The sequence below is a fragment of the Homo sapiens genome, chromosome 18 (assembly GCF_000001405.40).
Source record: "Homo sapiens chromosome 18, GRCh38.p14 Primary Assembly".
NCBI classification, from domain to species: Eukaryota; Metazoa; Chordata; class Mammalia; order Primates; family Hominidae; genus Homo; species Homo sapiens.
The window spans coordinates 22,594,005-22,614,481 of record NC_000018.10 but is presented as its reverse complement, the minus strand read 5'-3'; the positions used below and the strand labels follow the sequence as shown (position 1 = coordinate 22,614,481).

The 20,477-nt window shown below is 40.6% G+C and overlaps 1 long non-coding RNA gene across 1 annotated transcript; it reads left to right on the top strand.

The window, feature by feature from the left end:
• The first annotated feature begins 211 nt into the window (after nt 1-211).
• LOC124904262 (uncharacterized) lies at nt 212-4,928 on the top strand. The gene is made up of 2 exons (XR_007066307.1): nt 212-1,717; nt 4,289-4,928. It is a non-coding gene; the product is annotated as an uncharacterized LOC124904262 (long non-coding RNA).
• The last annotated feature ends 15,549 nt before the right edge of the window (nt 4,929-20,477 follow it).

Genomic DNA, 20,477 nt, shown 5'->3' with positions numbered 1-20,477 from the left:
TGCTCTGTCACCTAGGCTGGAGTGCAGTGGCGTAATCTTGGCTCACTGCAACCTCTGCCTGCTTTGTTCAAGCAATTCTCCTGCCTCAGCTTCCCAAGTAGCTGGTACTACAGGTAAGCACCACCACGCCCGGCTAATTTTTTGTATTTTTGGTAGAGATGGGGTTTCACCATGTTGGCCAGGCTGTTCTTGAACTCCTGACCTTAGGTGATCCGCCCATCTTGGCATCCCAAAGTGCTGGGATTACAGGCATGAGCCACCGCGCCCAGCCAAAAGTATATTTAGCTGGATTAGGTATAGATCTACCCAAGGAGATTGAAGGGGGCAGTCATACATTTTCATCTAAAATCTTCTTTCTTTCCTTAAAATCTTACAAAATCAAATGGGTGGCTGCTTCTACCAAACTGCCCACTCACTTCTTACTTCTCAATTAGTTTTCTCTCTCTTTCTCCCTCAATAAAGATAGGGCACTATGGAAGATTACACCATTTCAAACACATTCCAAAATGCTGTCTCAGCCCATGCCTGGCTGTTACTGCTTTAGGAGAATCTGATGAACATGTTTAAACACTCTTAGCACCCGAGGTTGTCTGTGTATAGTTGGGGAGCAGGTGGCCCGCCTGGGTAGAAAGTTATTACCTATTTTCATTTTTGCTTTGAAGGTTAAAAAGAGTCTGATTCTAATAATCGATTTACCTCTTAAATAGGGAAATAAGTCTGACTCCTGGGAAAAGGACATAAATTAACCTCTGGAAGTCATCAGAACTTATTAGCACATAAATGCTTCTGCTAAATCTGTCACCTTTCATTGAGCGCTCTGCCCGTCATGGGCTGTATTTGAGTTTTGTGGTATGCACTTAAGATTTTTAAGTGTGAGAGACATTTCCTTCTTTCAGGGTGAGGCAGGGTGACCCAAGGTCTCTGAAAGGTAAATACCAACTCCCCTGTCTCCCGAGCGAGCGAGCGAGCGACGGGCCTGTTTACAGTGTACCACCCTTGTCTGCAGGGAACATGCTTCACATTTTCTTCCAGGTGACGGGCTGCCTGCCAGTGACACCGCACACCTCGAGAGCTGCACAGTTTCTGCAGCAATATCATTCCTCTTCGGCTCCACCCTTTCCCTTTGAGCTTTACATTTCGTCCTTGCTCTGTGCAGTGCACCAATCAACACAAATTCAGGCAACCCCTCATTTCTCCCTCCTTTGATGACCCTGAAGCTCATCATCTGGCCAGCCCATCGCAGCCCAGAGCCATGTGTTGGGCGTGCTTCTGCCGTGGCGCTGGGAAGTCTGTCTGGGTGCTGTATTGTTTTATATTTTTCTCCCTCCTTCCCATGGCACCCTTTCTGCTGTTCCTTTCCCACCTTAAAAATAAATCCAAGGATATGAATAGCTTGAAATGAACTAAATCGGTCATTGTTATTACAGGAAAACTTTATACAGAATGCAAGCAATAATCCGCTTATATACACTGCGCTCTTACACAATAACTGATCCTTCATCGCTCTTCTCTGCTTGGCAAACGGAGTAGCTACCTTCTCATTCCCACAGTATTGTGTAAACATGAAAAGAAGCCAGAAGAGGTTCCTTTTATTTTGTTTTTGTTTTTTTGTTGTTTGCTGGCTTCAGGCTGGGCCCCAGCAGAGGGCGAGTGGCAGGAGGACACTTGAGTGGATTCTGCAAAAAGCCACACAGCTTTCCTCTGATGGATCAAAATGGTAATATTGATTCTATAAAAGTTTAAAGAGGTATTATGGCTGATTGGCAGGCATCCCTTTATTGAAGACATATCAAACCACAGGAAAAACTACTGGAACAGCTACTAGAACCCTATGGTTAATATAAAGTTTCCCAAATTCTGAAATTAAGCCTCCTGGCTGCCACCCTGGAGATATTAAACAAACTGTATATCTTCTATGTGCATCACTTATTTGTAAGGATAATTATATTCTTTTTCTGTTTTCCTACACCTTCTACTTCAGAATACACTAAAAACCCCCAAGTCACTTGAGCCCAGGAGTTCAAGGCTGCAGTGAGCTATGATTGCAGCACTGCATTCCAGCCTGGGTGACAGAGAAGGATCCTCTCTCAAAAAAAAAGGAAAAACAAAAATAAAAATTCCCAAGTCAAACCTTTAGTAAGAATTAGACTAAATTATTAAAAGCAATTTTGGAAAAAGAATTTACAAATGCAAAAAGAATGAGCAATTTACCTAGATACTTTGAATTTGCCAAATGAAGCTGATGCTTTGCAATGAAGCCTTTCTCATGCAAATCTGAAATTGCAGATGAACTCCAAATGGGATCCCTGATCTGTGATAGGAACAGATGAAGAAATGAAGCTTTTTATAGTATTTTGATGAACACTTTAATATTTCTCATCTGTCCTTGAGAAAGACATAATACATGCTAGCCTAGGGCTTGCTACATTTGGTATTGCTGTTTTTAGTCGTTAGCAAATTTTCTCAATGCTTTGGCTCTTTTTTTCTTTCTTTTTTTTTTTTTTTTTGAGACAGAGTCTCTCTCTGTCGCCCAGGCTGGAGGCTGGAGTGCAGTGGCGCAATCTCGGCTCACTGCAAGCTCTGCCTCCTGGGTTCACGCCATTCTCCTGCCTCAGCCTCCTGAGTAGCTGGGACCACAGGCACCCGCCACCATGCTTGGCTAATTTTTTGTATTTTTTTTAGTAGAGATGAGGTTTCGCCGTGTTGGCCAGGATCGTCTCGATCTCCTGACCTCATGATCCACCTGCCTCGGCCTCCCAAAGTGCTGGGATTGCAGGCGTGAGCCACCGTACCCAGCTAATGCTTTGGCTCTTAATTAGGACTAAGAAACATTTAGCAAAAGCTAAAGAGTCAGCTGGGTAATTAGGAAGTCAGGTCAATCAGTTCAACCTTTTCTATGTCCCTGCTGCAGGCAGGGCACTGAGTTGAGCGTCATGTAGGATATAAAGGTGAGTAAGAAATAGATGCTTTCCTCCAGGAGCTAGGAGACTAGCTAAGAATCTAGGATAAGGACACAGCACTTCAATCGAAGACATTAAGATGGTACAAATAAAGTGTGTAGGTTCTATTTATGGTAACCTAGGAAACATAAAAGCAAAGGAGGAGTTTTAAAAAATACTCGCTTGGAAATTAACATTTCTCTAAGATCAATGGTCAGTTCTCTTTATTAGTCTAGAGGCAGCAAACTTTTCTTTCCTGGGGCCTTATCCACAGCAGGTGCTTAGGTTACTTTATTAGAAATAGCAATAGTTTATGAGAACTGGACAGAAAGACTGCCACCTTCTTCACTCTCTCTAGCATCAGTGCAAAATCATGTGGAGGTTTGATTGTTAAAAAGCTACTAGACATGGTTTTGTGGTTTGCATTTGACCTAATCTACAAGATTGTTTTAGAGCTAAATGTTTTGAGGAAGGATCCATAGATCTTAAGAAATAAAAGAACTATAAGCAAATTGATCCAACTCCTTGTTTTTAAATAGATAAGGTGTCTTTAGTCCCCATTTGATGGACACTATTCAGAGATTGAATGCATTGCTGGAAGTTGCATGTGGTATAAGCATAGGAAGACTGGACTCCTGGTCCTTTGCCTCCCAGGACAGCGCTGTTGCACCACCTCTTGTAGATGAGAAAATTAAAACACAAAATTCCTGCGCATTGGTAGAAAACTCTTGTTTTTGTTTTCTTGCCTGTTAATCCAAACCTCTAGCTATAAAATAATATTATTCTTGGAGATCTTAATTGTCATTATTTATGTAAGATTTATACCACATCTATTTCCAAAAAAATTTTTAAATACATTGCAACCTTATATACACTACAGAATAAAACATCTAGAAACAGAACAACACCCTTTTTTTCTGAAAATTAGACAGAGTTAGCAAATAGCTGACGGGCAAGCATATGTTATTCCACTCCAGGATGGAATTTAGTTTTGAAGTTTCTTTGCAGATGAGATAAAATTATAAGTGTGTGAAACTATATTATTCCCTTACCTATTGGCTTTAAATTGGATTTCCAAATTTAGTAGAACCCAAAAATGAGAAGAAAGTGTTTTTTAATAGACCTTGTAGATGATCTTTCAAGTTTTGACCTTGTATAAAGCATTAGATTAAGAAACAAAGTATAAAAAACAATTACTCTTCAGTACTTGTGTGCATGTGTTTTAGAAGGATAATGGCAGTGGGCACATTTCTGGACCTGCAGCATGGGTGGGGAAAGTTTCTCTTTTGTGGGAGGGATGTCTAAAGTTTTCTCTAATTGTTTTTAGAATACCTATTTTTTTTTTCTAGAAAGAACGTCGGTCCTGGCAGTCTTTCAGCCACAAAGCTTTGAGAAATGGGGCTAAATATTAATAATAACTGCTTGGATTATAATGAGGAATCAATCAAAACACATACTGTTGATGAAGATGCCTTGAACACCGTGGATGCTGTAGAATAAGGGATTATGACTACAGCAATTCTTGGCTCCCTTCTCTGTTTGTTTAAGGGTTACACAGGCTTTGTTTAATATCTCCGTGTCTCAGTCCTTTCGGTTGAAGCACAAGGCATGCTTCAGCCACCTGAGATTAACTGCTAAACCCTGCAGCAAGCCAGCATCTCCTCCCTGCTGCCTCTCATCCGTCAGGATCTGCTCTGGAAATGGGCCAGTGGTGACGTGTGGGAATGCAGCCCTTTGTGTTTGTTTTTGGTGTTGGATTTGGTGGCCTTGGTCACGGATTGGCTTCCTTCTTTGAAACTGAACATCTTCCATGCCTTTGTGATTGAGTGACAAAAGTTCAACCTGCACATGCCAAAATGAACAGCCTAGAAAACTGATTATGGTTTCAGGACCAGCTTTAAAAAAAAGCAACAAAACCCTTCCAGTCACCCAGAGTTCTAAACATAATCGGTTGGTTCCCAGAAGTACAATAAAAGGAAGCCAGAAGTATTTTAGTCCCTAGTTGTTTATGAATCAACCTGATTTTCTTTTTCAGACTTTGAAGGTCACAGAATCAAATCATGTGGAGCCATTTCCATCAGTCCTCCTACCCACCCTTTCTCCCCTGTTCTCTGTTGCAAGTAGGGTTTTGCTAGGTTTAAGTAGAACATTGCTCAGAATTTCCAGGGGTTCTTAATTAAAGCAGGTTTCTTTTCCAAGAAAGCTGCCTTGGAAATTACTGGAAGGGAAGCAACAGTGACAAGTAAAGCAGGCGTCAGAATACCTTCAGTGTACCCCAGCCCTGCTCCTCCCCTAGAGCACAGGCTCAGGAGTTCTGCTGGCCTTAGGTAGAAGCCAAGGAAGAGGGGCCTGCACTCATCTTTCTGAGTAAGCCAGGGCACTTCATGTCTGGGATAAAGCCAGCAGGGCATGGGACATGGCATGGAACTGAATTTATATAGGAAGTAGACAATTAAGCCTGAGTCTTAGACACACACAGGAAGGTGACAGAAGAAGAAAGAATGACGTTTATTATTTTCTAGAGATCTAATCTAGAGAGCTTCAGTGTCCTTGCCATAATGTGACCTTTAAGGAACACAGCAAAAATCTTGGCATATTGCTTGCCAAATATTCAGGCACCTATTATGTGCCAATATGAATAGCACATAATAGGTACCTGAATAATGTAAGTTCTCTTCCCCACCTTTCCCCCACTTTTCTGCACATTGAATAGGATGATTTTAATTTTGCTTTACAAATTATTCAGTTATATCTGTTGTTATTTCATAATGTAAACAATTTCATATTGCTTATATTTCTTTTTTAGGACTTAATGAATAGCAAGGAAATATTTTTGTAATTGATAAGCTTGTTATGCAATTCCAGAAACCTCCTTTCAATGCCTCTAACATCCACATGGTACACTCTGGCACAAGTCAAAAAATATATTAAAAATAAGAACTAAGAATTATCAGATGCCAACTATGTGCAAGGCATTGTATTAGGTTCTTTATCTTAGGTTTTCCATTTAACCCTCAAAACAACCCCAAGGGCGAGGACGAGTCTTTCCCATCTCCCTGTGAGAAAGTAGCTTCAGAGAGCTCTTGCCCAGGTCTCACTGTGAGCAGGTGGCAAAGTTGTTGCTGGAGTATTGTTTACTCAAACTCCAGGGTCCAAGTTCCTTCCACCTCACATAATGCCAAGGCTCTACTGTAGGTACAGGAAGCGAGAGCAAGAGATCTTCTCACTGCCTTCCACAATGTGGCTTCCTTAAAAGCATTTGAAGAAGGAGATGGATTCTACCAACTGTAGACAGCATCTCTGCTGGGGCCAGGCTGAGGCAGGACGGGTCTTGGGGGTGGAGTCAGGATACTCCTTTCTCATCCAGCCTCCAGCCAGCTGTTTGTGTTTGGATTTTTCTGGGGGCTAAGAAGTTTCCCGGTAAGAGACGGTGAACTGGGTCTTCAAAGGGGGTCCTGATGTACACCAGCTCATCTGGAGAACAAAATGGGGAGAGCAGGGCAGGGTGACAGAGGTCAAATTGCTGGGGAGATTCTCCGGATGCCTGAGAGAGGGATCGACCTAAGGAAGGGGGATTCAGGCAGTGAGTCCAACTTACCAACAAGGTTGTGGGGCTGAGAGAAGGTGTAGACCTTAGATTTTCTTGAATCTGCCCTGACCCCACCACTTTGCAGGGCTCTGTGCAGCCTGGAGTGGGAACGGCTGTCTGTGCATTAGGAGGTGCCACTCAGTAAGCCAGGCTTCAGCATCTTCCAGCCCATGCTGCCCTGCTGTGGTGCCTACTAGCAGCCGGGACCTCAGAGAGCAGGGAGCTACTCTTCTCACTTTGTAACCAACTGCCTGGAGTACCCAAGTGCCAGGAGGATTGAAACCGGCACCCAAGACTTCGCTAACATATCAGGGGAGGCAGAGATCAGCAGGAATGTGCCATGGCTGTGGCCACAGTGGTGGCGAACAAAGGCAGCAAGAAAGGGCCTGGATCCTTGTGTCAAGGCTGGGTGGTGGTGGCCACGACTTGGTCTAGACAGATTCACAAGAATGTCTGAGACATCACCGGGGACTGCAAGAAATAATTAGGGCTGAGTACATAAAAAGCTCCTGCAGGGAGCAAGTTCCTTTTATGCAGGTAGGGAGCCTTACGCCATAGAAATTGACAATCAGTGTTACTATGTCTGCATAGACAGGGGAGGCCTAGAGTTAAGTTCCATGAGCAATGGAGTTACGCGACCCAGAATAACAAGGCTAGTATGTAGGAAATAGTATTCAATTTTTGTAGGATTAGATCACCTCAGCCCGATAGGCTGGGCAAAAAGCCCTAATGGCTGTGCACATATCCTACCTCCAATAACTTAGATTCCTCCCTGTCCCTGGCTTGGCTACTCCCCCACACTGAGGGCCACAGAGAGGCGATGGAGTTGGTTGCTATGCTGTGCAGAGTTGCCACTGAAATGTGCTGGGAAACCAGGCTTGATAACTGTACATGGAACAGCTTGTCCTGACCACGCTTTCTCTGAAGAGAGCCAGAGGCAATGCTTCAGAGTGCTAGTGGTATGGCTGGGCCTGCCGGGAAGCAGCTCTGAAGCCCTGGCTGTGAGGCTTAGTGAGAAGGAACACTCCAGTGCAGTCATCAGAAGGTGCAGTCCCTGGGATGAGTGTGAGGATGTGAACTGGCTGGGGCAGCAGCACCAGGAGATGACGGTGAGCACAGCTGCCAGGGTCACCCCAGCTCCTCACCGGACATGGCCTGGGCCTGTGTCTCTCTCCCTGCCCAGAGTGGAGTACTAGCAGGCTGTGGGAAGGCTCAGATCGGGTTACCAAGCCCTTTGTACCCCACCCCAGCACTCTGAACTACAGCAAAATCTGGGGCTCTTAACTTTTTGGTTCATGATCCATGGATCCTTTGGGCAGTATGATGAAGCCTGCATTCTCCTTCTCAGACTAATACTTTAAATGCATAAGATAATATATTTAGGATTAGAAAGGAAGCCAGTTATGTGGAAATATGGTCTGAAACATCCCCAGAAACGTCAAGAAATAATTAGGACAGGGTGGAATAAAGGATCTTGAAAAAGGTTAGGGTTCCTTCCGTGCAGCTGGGGGCATGCGTTATCGAAATGTTCAGAAACTAGGTTTGTGATATGAAAATATCTGTGCGTCTGTACAATGCAATGCATAACAAGATTAAGCAGCAGGTCTAATACCATAATTCTCCAATTCTGACACTATAATTCCAAGTAGTGATGAGCATAACTGTTATTTCAAGATACCTGCTACAACTGAAATGTGATTTGAAAAATCTATAGTTTCTAGTGGTAACGAAGTCACAGATATACTGACATACTGATGTGGTGTGCTGTCTACATTCATAAGAAAATGCTAAATTTAAATTAAAGTGTAATGAAAAGAAAGATGTATTTTTTCCCACACTGTTTCAAGGCACCCCCCTAAATTCTATCTATAGACCCCAGATTGAGAACTCCTGTCTTCTGTGCTTGTGCAGAATGACTTCAGGAAAACACACACCTGGTTCCGAGTATGTTTTCTTAGCTCAATACCAGTACCATGTAACTATAGTTGCCTCAGGGTGTGTAATAATGACTAGGCAATGCACAATGCCATTGCAACAATGTGACGAAGGCTAGCCTGTATACCTATGAAATTCATTCCCTGCAAGGCTGTGGAGGGTTGAGCAGGTACAGGCACCACGGCCAGGCACAAACTCTGTGTTATTTTTGTGGGAGCAAAGAAGAATTCTTCTAGTTCCACAAGGTGCGGCAATATGAAAAAATGATAGTTGGACAAGGATGAACTCAGAGGTAATTTCTAACAAGAGTAGGGATAAGGAGAGGAAGCCAGGACTGTGATGTGAGCACAGAGTGGAGTGCTGGGAAAACATGGGATCTGGACTTGAGCCCCAAGTCTACCCTGGACAGCTGAGTGATTTTGGGTAAGTAAAAACGTTCCCTTCTTCATGCTTTTCCCTACCTCCATCATTGGGATTTGTGAGGGACACAGAGGACAGTATGTATATACAAAGGTGCTGTGTGAACAGTAAAGCCCCATCCTCACATCTGCTATTATTATCCTGTTACAAGCCACCTCATGTTTAACTTTACTCCAAATGTATCCCTGGGCAGCCATCACATGCCACACTCTTGCTGCAGTTTGCAAGTTGAGGCAAGTCACTTGTGGTTTTTGTCACTTTTTCCTCTCCAGGGGCAGTACCATGACTGGCAGCTCTGCCAGACAGACTGACTTTATCACTCAAAGGCCAGTAAAAGTGACCTTTGGTTGTCCTGGGAGTCCTGCACCCCTATTTTTCTGATGAAACTCCCTTTGACCTTCGATTCCCCTGGCTTTCCTTTCTCTTAGCTTCCCTCCCTCCTTTGGTCTGGCCTCTGTCCAAACCCTGGGATGGAGGTGAGGGATGGGAGCAGTAGGCACGGGGGTGGGGTGGGGAGCATGGAATGGGGGAGGAGGAGAGGAGAGTCTCCAACCCTATGGCTGCCTCCCTGAGTTCTGCCGGGCACAGTTTCCATAGACAGCCAGCAGCAAGAGCGCATGGAATAAAGTATATTGAAGTCATTCAGCTTTGAAGACTTCCTGTATACTTTTAAGCTGCCCATGACATCATTGCACTGGGTGGCTCAGAACAATAGGCAGGGGTGGGATGAAATGAACCAAATCTACAAAGCATCAAGAACAGAGAGTGAGAGGCTGAAACAGAAACAGCCACAGACTATGTGAACTTTCCTGAACCAACTGGGGAAGAACTGACCCCCCAGTTGTCCAAGATGGCCCAAAACTGTACCCCTCGGCCACCCGCCCCCGTGGACTCGGCTGCTCCTTGTTTTTCAGCTGCACGGTGACCTCGCTCTGTTGCGTGGGACAACGACGGCAGACACACAGGGAAAGTCATGTGACTTGCAAACAGTTCCTCCATCCAAGTTCAATAAATTAGCAGCCAAAAATTTTAATCAGATATTTAATCTTTCCTCCCTGTAAGGGAGATTGAGTGTTTATGGTGGCTGGAGGCCAGGTTAATCTCAGAGAAAGATTACTTGCTGTATCTTTGGTGCTGGGAAGCCCTGAAGAAATCACTGGTGCCTGTTGAGCTCTGCTCAGCCAGTAGATAGCCTATGTCCCTTGTAATTTTCTGTGGGCTGTGTCAGGACTGAACAGTGATGTGACAAGGGATTTCCACATTTTATAAATACAGTGGAATAGGAAACAACCAAAAGAAGTTCTGCAAAAATCAATACATGGTCTTATCTGATGGGTCTACCATGCTGACCTCTTCTTCTCCTTACCTACTCTACACCTTTTCACCTCCTGAAGCCCAAGGATGTCTCAGGGAGAAGGGCTTGAGGCAATCCTACCAGGGCACTCTGAACTCTGGTAGCAGGACTCACCTCTTTGTGAATAATTCACTAATTGCTGACTATGGCTGAAATTTATTAATTTATTTGACAAAGGATGATTGAGTGCCAGGCACTCTTCTAGGATCTTGGAACAAATCAAAAAACACAAAAAGAAAAATGTCTTCCCTAATGTAGCTTATGCTGTAATGATGGGAGACAGATATCTAACAATAAACATAACTAACAAACATATAATGTGAAATTAGAAGGTGACCAGTGCTAGGAAGAAAAGAAATGCACCGGAGAAGGTGACTTGGCATGTCGGGGGAGGGATATTATTTTGTAACAAAATTTATTGCAACATTCCCATGGTGGGCCCCTGAGAACACCACTCCATTAGGATGTTGATAGATGCTATGGAGAAGAAACCCATTCAATAATCGAGGGGTGGAAACGGAACCAGGGGAGAAGGGTGGTAGGCAGAGACATTTTGGAGGATATTGCAGTAGCCATGAAAGACGATGAAGGAGAGAGAAAAGAACAGCCTGGCCCTGGCTGGACAGAGCAGCAACAGCAGAAAGAGGAATCAAGCTTTAAGTGTCTAGACTTTTCCACATGTCTAGTTTTGAGCCAGGGCAACTATGAAAATGAATGGACTTTTAACCCAAATATGTAAGTCAAGAGAGGCAGATATGGGGAACTTGAGTTAGATGTCAAGTGTTCAGATGCAAATGAGCTATGTTTGTAGATGCTATGGATAAAACCATCAGAGTATTAGAAAAATAGCAGTGACAGATACAAAGAAGTGACCGAGAGGTAGGAGAAAACACAGAACAGCAGTCTGTCTCAGGAATACAACAAGCAATGATTTTAAAGCAGCACTTCTCCACACACCTACAACCATCTGATCTTTGATAAAGGTGACAAAAAACAATCAATGGGGAGAGGACTCCCTGTTCAATAAATAGTGCTGGGAGAGCTGGCTAGCCTTATGCAGAAGATTGAAGCTGACCCCCTTCCTTACACTATATACAAAATTCCACTCAAGATGGATTAAAGACTTAAATATAAAACCTAAAACTATAAAAGCCCTGGGAGATAACCTAGGATAGGAAATACCATTCTGGACATAGGCCCTGGCAAAGATTTCATGACAAAGATGCCAAAAGCAATTGCAATGAAAGCAAAAATGGACAAATTGGACCTAATTATACTAAAGAGCTACTGCATCACAAAAGAAACTATTGATAGAGTAAACAACCTATAGAATGGGAGAAAATATTTGCAAAGGCTTAATATCCAGAGTCTATAAGGAACTGAAACAAATTAACAAGCAAAAATAAACAATCCCATTAAAGAGTGGGCAAAGGACATGAACAAACACTTTTCAAAAGAAGACATACACGTGGCCAACAAGTATGTAAAAAAAAAAACTCAACATCACTAATCACTAGAGAAATGCAAACCAAAACCACAATGAGATACCATCTCACAGCAGTCAGAATGGCTATTGCTAAAAAGTCAAAAGATAACAGATGCTGGTGAGGTTGCAGAGAAAAGGGAATGCTTATACACTGTTGATGGGAATGTAAATTAGTTCAGCTGTTGTGGAAAGCCGTGTGGTGATTCCTCAAAGAACTTAAAATAGAAGTACCGCTTGACCCAGCAATTCCATTATTGAGTATATACCCAAAGGAATATAAATTGTTCTACCATAAAGATACAGGCATGAATATGTTCATTGCAGCACTATTCATAATTGTAAAGACATGAAATCATTCTAAATGCCTATCAATGGTAGACTGGGTAAATGAAATGTGGCACATATACACCCTGGAATACTATGCAGCCAAAGAAAAAGAATGAGATCATGTCCTTTGCAGCAACATGGATGGAGCTGGAGGCCATCATTATCTTAAGTGAACTAATGTAGGAACAGAAAACCAAACACTGCATGTTCTCATTGATGAGTGGGAACATGAGTACACACAGACACAAAGACGAGAACAATAGACACTGGGGCTGACTTGAGGGTGGAGGGCGGGAGAAAGAAGGGGATAGAAAAACTACCTATTGGGTACTATGCTTATCACCTGGGTGGCAAAACTGTATGCCAAACCCCAGTGACACACAATTTACCTATGTAACAAAACTGCACATGTACCCCTGCACCTACAAACAAACAAACAAACAAACAAGATTAGCATAACTCTCAAAAAAAAAAAAAAAAAAACAAAACACAGCGCTTCTCAAACTTTTCTCCCACTAGAATCATCTGAGGGATCCAGACATTCCTATTCCCAGGCTACACTCCATACCAATTATATCAGAATCTCTGAGGAAGGGGCCCAAGAATCAGCAGATTTTAAAGTTCTCTAAGTGATGACAATTTGTGGTCAAGGCAGAGAACTAGTGTTTTAAAGCAGGAAGAATGGGTAACAGCTGCAGAGAGATGACGATGGATGAGGACTGAAAAAAGATGGTCGAATGTGGGGACTTGGCGAGCGCTGATGGCCCTTTCTGGAATGTATTACCAGTCTACTGTTGCTGTTTTACAGGGAAAGACATTTAGGCCAAAATGGGTTTAGTCACTTCCTCAAGGCCACATTTTTGGTAAATAGTGGAGCTGAGACTTGGTCTTTCTGGAACCAAAGCCTATATATATTTTTCATTCCGTCATGTTGGGGTAGAGACAGAAAATCAAGGGAGTTTCTACCGGCTGATTTATTTGTTGTTCGTTAAATAGGTGTTGAAATGATAACCCACAACTTGAAGGGTGAGGGCACAGGTGAACTAGGGTGGAATAAGGAGTTGTAGTTTCCCTTTTCTGGGTTATAGTCAGACCTTTATCATTAACTGTGTGACCTAATATCTTGGGCTTTCTTCCATTTCTTTATTTATAAGAAAAAAGATTTGGATTTGTTGGTCTCCAGGATTCCAGGTATTTACAAGATTTAATGATTTAAAGATTCTGTGAGGGTGGAGTTCAATTCTGTGAGGGTGAACATCAGTATGAGATGAATTAAAGAACCAACCAGCAGCCTGGGGAGGTTAGAGAGCTTGGCTCTGAAGTGGATCAATTCTCCAGGTTAGTGATTTGCTCTTGTGAATCCATTGATGGAATTAGAGTGCAGATGTTAGCTGAAGAGGAGACGCTTGCCAGAGAAATGTCCAAGAGGACTTTGAGGACATGAGGCTGGTTCAGTGCCTCATGGAATGTCAGACAGGGCAGGTCAGCAGGGTAAGCTCTTGATGGTTAGCTAGAGCAGTGCCCCCACCACCTGCTGTGGAGGCAAGGCTGGAAATGGGGGAAGTGAGACGCAAAGGGGCTGATGGAAAGAGAAAAGAAGAGAAGCATTAATGGACCAGAGGTCAAATGAGGTCAAACATCAGAGGGAGAAATGATACTCAAGGAAACAGTGGATCCTGTTGAAAAACCACTTTGTGATTCTAAAACAGGAGATTGGACCAAATACTGTACAGACACTTTTAGTTCTATCTAATATTTTATGATGTCACTGAATAGTGAATAAATGACTTCCTTGCCACCAAAAAGTTTCATAAGGGAATCAGCTTTAGTTTGGAAATGCCTCCTTTTGTTGGGTCTTCTAAACATGACACTAAAGCATACCCCTTTAAGGGAAAAAGTTTGATTTCATTTTATTTTTTGAAAAAGTGATAAATGATAAAGACTGAATGACTACAAACATTCCGGCCACTTCTACATTTTAGACAATAGAGCCACAACTTTTGAATTAAAATGTTACAACCTCTGCATGTTTCGCTTGTATAAAACATACAATCTTTCGATATTGTTTCCCAGATCTTTGATTGCTACAATCTAACTTTGTTTGTTCTGATGACTTGATTAGGATGATGAATGTCATAATAGGACTGTGGACATTTGTTTACCATGACACTAAATCAACAGTGGTGACAAAGAACAGGTTAAGGCATAATGGACCTGCTTCTTCTGTGGAATTATCCAAGACAGAGTAATAGAACCATTGGGGACTACATTCAATTATTGTGAGACTTTGTTCATCATGATTACTTCTAAAAACTCCATTATAGAAAAGCATTTACTCCGAGTCTTCCTGGTTTGCAGAGAGAAAGGTATCAAATGCACCATTCTTACCTTAGTGCCTCTGTCGACAGGCAAACTGGTGAGGAGCTAAGTGACATCTGGGAAATTTGACTCATAGAGTCAGCAAAATGGAAACTTGCTGTCCTTAAGATCCCTTCTGTTTTGTTTTTGCTTTTTTTTTAACATATTAGGTTTTGTTGGCGGTTTTGGTTTTTTGCCTTTTCTCTCCCTACTCCCCCTACCCCCACTATCAGTTCTTTAGTTAATTACCTTATGTTTTATTAATTTATTCACAAATATTTATTGAGAGCTATTCTGCAAGCTGCTATGTGAGGCACTTGGGGATTTGGCAGATTTAGTGAGAGAGATGCTGAACTTTCACTTGTATTTAACAGTCCAATACAGAATACAGATATTAAACAATAAGTATAATAAAATGATGAGGGTTATCACACAGGGCAAATACAAGGCATTATGAGAGTGTTGGGCAGGTGTAAAACCAACTCTTGGTTTTGTGGGAGACCTCTCTGAGGAAGAAACATAAATTAGTTATGAAGAACAAGTAGATTTTAGGCAGAAATAGTGGCTACGTGGGGCGCAGGGCATCTCTTCTAAGTAGAGAGAAGAATATGTGCAATTGTTCAGATATGAGAGAGAGCACGGCATATTTGAAGAACGTTGAAAGTAGTTTAGTGTGCTGCCGCATGAAGTAGAAATTGGGAAATGGTGCAAACTGATGCTGGGGGAGTAGGTGGGATAAGACCAGGTGGGGTCTGCAGCCCTCATTGCAGCATGGTACTGAGATGATCAGATTTGTGTTGAAAGAATCACTCTGGCTACAGCGGGGAGAATGGATGGCAGATGTCAAAAATGAACAGAAAGGGAAGAGACTTACGCTTCTAGCCATAGGAAATAAATAGGATCTGGAATTATCCTTCCACTGCAAATAATGAAAAAACTGGAAAATTATAAGAAACAACTATTTTCAGCTATTACACAACATGTAGTAAAAGAGCGTAATCTCTGAAAAAAGGGAAACAGATGATGTAAGCCCTACCATCATTAAAGCTTTATGTCCAGAGGTAATTTCCAGTTTTAGGTGTAGGAAACAGGAACTCAAATACAATGCAACAATCTTTCTTAGTTGAGGAGAAGGACATCAAAGTTCTGGGACATTGAGGCATTTAGAATTTTGGGGCAGGGTACCCAGGAGGAGTTATTTGCAGAAAAAGTTCCAGAAATCTGCATAAACGTTCCCTTGAGTCTTTGGCTGAATACCAATACACACATGCACAGGGTGAAAATTCATGAAGCCAACCAAAAATAATTCTTAAGGAAAGCACTATTAGTGGAGAGTTGTGATACAAGTAATTCCCATAGCTCAAACAGAGCTGGGAATTGTCCTAATTCCCTCAGCCAGAGAAGAGACCTCACTAAATACTCCTGGCAATTAACAGAGACCCCAGAAGAGTGTGTCTCAGAAATGGGGCTAAATTATCTCTAGACTACAGGCTACTTTACACCTACCCTAAAAGAACTTAAAAATATGCCCCAAAAGAGTAAACCAATCTATAAATAACTTTCTGCCATAAAAAGTCCAACACTCCTAAAAACTATACATAATCTAGTAAACAACATACAAATCAAAATGACCAGCAATCAATAAACAATTACTAGACCTAAAAGACGCAGGACAATGTGACCCATAACAAAGAAAAAGTGAGTAAATAGAAACAAGAAACAGAAAAAGATACAGCAGCAAATAATGGAATTAACACATAATGATATTAAAATAATTATTATATATTTTCCAGAGTGTAAAGGAAAACATAAGACATAATGAGGAAATAAATGGAAGTTATTAAAAAGAAGATCATATCAAAGCATATGCTTTTATCTTAAGAAACTAGAAAAACAAGAAGCAATTGAAACCTGAAGTAAGTAGAAAAAAATAGGAAGCAATAAAATTGAAAGTAGAAAAACAATTGAGAAAAAGAATAAAACCAAAATCTGATATTTGGAAAAATCAATAACATTATTAACATGCTAGCTAGATTGACAATGATGAAGGAGGTACTTCACTACAGATCTTATAGATATTTTTTAAAATAATAAAATATTTTGAGTAACATTATGTTAATAAATTTTAAAACCTAGATGAGGTGAAAAAATTCTTTGAAAGACATTGTTTATCAAAATTGACTCAAGAAGAGATAGAAAATCTGAAGAGCCCTGTATGTATTAAGAAAATTGAGTTAATAAGTGAAAACTTTCAAACACATGCACACACACACACACACACACACACACACACACACACACAGACATATGAACATACAACCTCAACCCAGGTGGCTTTACTGGTGGTAGTCTATTCAAATTTAAGAAAGACATAATACCAATTTTCCACAAACTCATTCAAAAAAGAGAGGAGAAGAAAACATTTTACAAACAATCTTTGGGATCAGGTTTGCTCTTCTACCAAAATCAGACAATGGTTATTACAAAAAAGAGAAATCTAAAGACCAATATAACACATAGACATGAATGTAAAAATCTTTACAATACTTTAGCAAATAGAATTCTTTACATAAAATTATATTATGCCCATTTGATTTAAAACTTCTCAGCAAACCAGAATAAAAACCTGATACATTATCTACAAAAAACCTACAGTTAACATCATGATTCATTCTGAAAAAACTGAATGATTTCTAACTAAGACTGTGAACAAGGCAAGGATGCCCACTCGCACCATTTATACTCAACATTATACTCAAAATTTTAGTCACTGAAAAAAGTCCAGAAAAAGAAATAAAAGGAATACAGATTGGAAAGAAAGAAAATAGTATGTTTTTATTTGCAATAAAGTGATTATGTCTGAAGAAAATATTAAGAAATCTACAAAAAGCTATTGGAATTAATACATGAGTTTAACAAGGTTGCAGAATACAAGGTCGGTATACAGAAATTAATTTTTATATATGGACAATTCTTTTATATTTGCATTGTATAGAATGAACAATTGTAAATTGAAAATTTAAAATACTATTTACAATAGCACCCAAAATATGAAATACTTAGGGATAAATTTAACAAAGTAAGTACAGACCCTTTACACTGAAAACCATACAACATTTCTGGGAGAAATTAAAGAAGATATAAATAAGTTAAGAGATTTACCATGTTCATGAATGGGAAAACAATATTTTTACAATGTTCATTTTCTGAATGTGATCTATTTAGCATATTTCTAATTTAAATTCTACCAGGATTTTTTTTTTTTGGTAAAAATTGCCAACCTGATTCTAAAAATTTCTATGGAAAAGTCAAACCTGTAGAACTTCTAGAAAAAATATAGAAAATAAAAATTTCACAACCTAGGGTAGGCAAAAAAAGGACATAAAAGGCATTAATCATAAAAGAAAAATGTGATAAACTTATTTAAAATTAAGAACTTCTGATTTTTTGAAAAACATTGTTGAGACAGTTTGTCAGTTTCTTATGAAGTTAAATATACATGTAGCATATAATTCAGCAATCCCACTCCTAGGTATTTACCCAAGGAAAATGAAAACACATGTTTGCATAGACTCATACATGAATGCAGGTAGAATATTTATTCACAGTAGCCAAAAACTTGAAACAACTCTAGTGTCCATCAGGAAGGGAATAGATAAAACAAGTTGTGGTCTTTCCATACAATGGATTTACTGGGATAGGGCATGGGGGAGATTTTGGAAATGTCCTACATCTCTTTGATGGTGCTTGCACTGAGGTATAAATGTGTCAAAACTCACTGAAATGTGCAACTAGGGGGGTGCATTTTATTTTATATAAACTATCTCCTAATGTTCTTTTAAATGAATGGAAGGACCATGTTGGAAATGACAGTAGCCTGGATTGGAGTGGTGGCAGAGGGGATGTGGCAAGAAGCAGCAAGAAGTGGGTGGATTTGAAACAGAAAGAATTTTGCACTTTATTTCCTTTTCATCTGTATAAACACATTTGATTTATTTTATTTTATTATTATTAATTTTTTTTTGAGACTGTGTGTCAGTCACTCTGTCATCCAGGCTGTAGTGCAGTGGTGCAATCAGGGCTTTGACTTGCAGCCTTGACTTCCCCAGCTCAGGTGATTCTCCCACCTCAGCCTCTCAAGTAGCTGGGACTATAGGGGCATCATACCAGGCTCTTTTTTTTTTTTTTTTTTTTTTTTTTTTTGAGACTGAGTCTTGCTTTGTCACCCAGGCTGGAGTGCAGTGGCATGATCTCCAGTTGCTTCAACATCCGCCTCCCGGCCTCAAGCGATTCTCCTGCCTGAGCATGAACCACTGCACCCAGCCCATACCAGGCTAATTTTTAATTTTTTTTGTAGAGACGGGGTCTTGCCATGTTGCCCAGGCTGGTCTGGAACTCCTGGGCTCAAGCAATCCGCCTGCGTTGGCCTCTCAAAGTGCTGGGATTACAGGCATGAGTCACCACGCCTGGCCCATGTCTGATATTTTTTTAAAATGAAGGAAAGTCAGAGTGGAAAAAAGGTTTCAATGAGGAATATTCGATGAGGATAAACAGGTAATTTATTCAGAAAATAGGGAGTTATCTTTACTGATGATTACATTGAGGACACAGTGGTAAAGTTTTAGAAGCCCATCTGGCGATGAAATTGCTTGAAAATGTCAGGTAATACCACCTTACATGGAAAATGCATAATTATCCACATCTACAATAAACAATGGCATGTAGATATTTATGTAATCTAGTTAATTTTCTCCACATTCTGGAACCAGGAATTAGTGACTGTCTTCTTCCATCCAAGAATTCCATTTAGAATCTCCTTATGCACTCCTCAACTCCTGTATGCCAGAAAGAGAAATTGACTACATATGCTGGAAAATATAGAGGAAAACATTTTATAATAAATATTGTGAGATCAAATTTTAATTTTAATTTTGAAAGGAGGAGATTATAGGGGAAGTAAATATTTTTCTCAAAAATTTAAAATATATATTTGAAGTTATACTTATTAAAGAAAATTTGAAAATACAGAAAAGCAAAGAGAAAAAAATCAGATTACTCATAATCCCATCACCCAAATGAAACATTTTGTTTTATTTCCTTCTAAGCCTCTCTTTCTTTAGTGCTTGGTCTTACAAAATAGTTGTAATCATAATGTCCACACAGTTTTATAGCCTATTTTTTTCCATCAACATTTTAACCTGGCACATTAATTCATTTATTTGTTCATTTATACAATAATCTAGTCCACAAAGATTTATTGAAGGTTTGCTGTGTACCCAGTATTGATGAAAACAAGAAAAGACACAATTTCTGCCCTTAAGTATCCAGACTAGTAGGAAGAGAGAGATTAAAAAATAAACAACAACAACAACAAAATAAATATGTATTTACAAATTGCTTCCAAAAAGGAAACAAGTAGGGTACTATGAGGGATTCACTAGGGAAAATGAAATAGACTGGGGAGTCTGGAGAGGCTGGTTCAGGGAAGGTAACTGAAGTGTAAAGATGCAGGATGTGAAGCATTGGCCAGTTGACAGGTGAGGAGAGGAGTGTTCTGGGCAGTCAGCAGGGCATGAGGGAAGAGGAAGAGCAACAGGAGGTCCCTGAGGCCTGGAGCACAAAGTGGGAGGAGACTGGAGTTGAAGGTAAGAATCTGATGAGGTGGGGATTTCGTGGCCAGGCAAAGAAGTTTGCAATGTATTCTAAGAGCAATAGGGAACCACGATGGGCTTTAAAATGCAGCGTCATACTCGATTTATGTTCAGGAAACATTGCTCTGGCTAGAATGGAGGTAAGAGTGGAAAGGAGGCTGGTGATCAGGAGGCCACTGCAGTTGTCTAGGGGAAGAATGGAGTGGCTTCAACTAGGGTGCTGGTGGAAGAGAAATGAATGGGTTTGAGAAATATTTTGCAGGTTGAATTTTATGATACTGTCATTTTTGTAGGTTAAAGAGGTCACATATTGACAATTTCACATGATTCTGCCTAATAATAGGGCTTAGTTTTGCACTGGATATGAGGACTATGGAAAAGGGGACTGAGGGATGATTCCACCTTTTTGTCTTAAGTA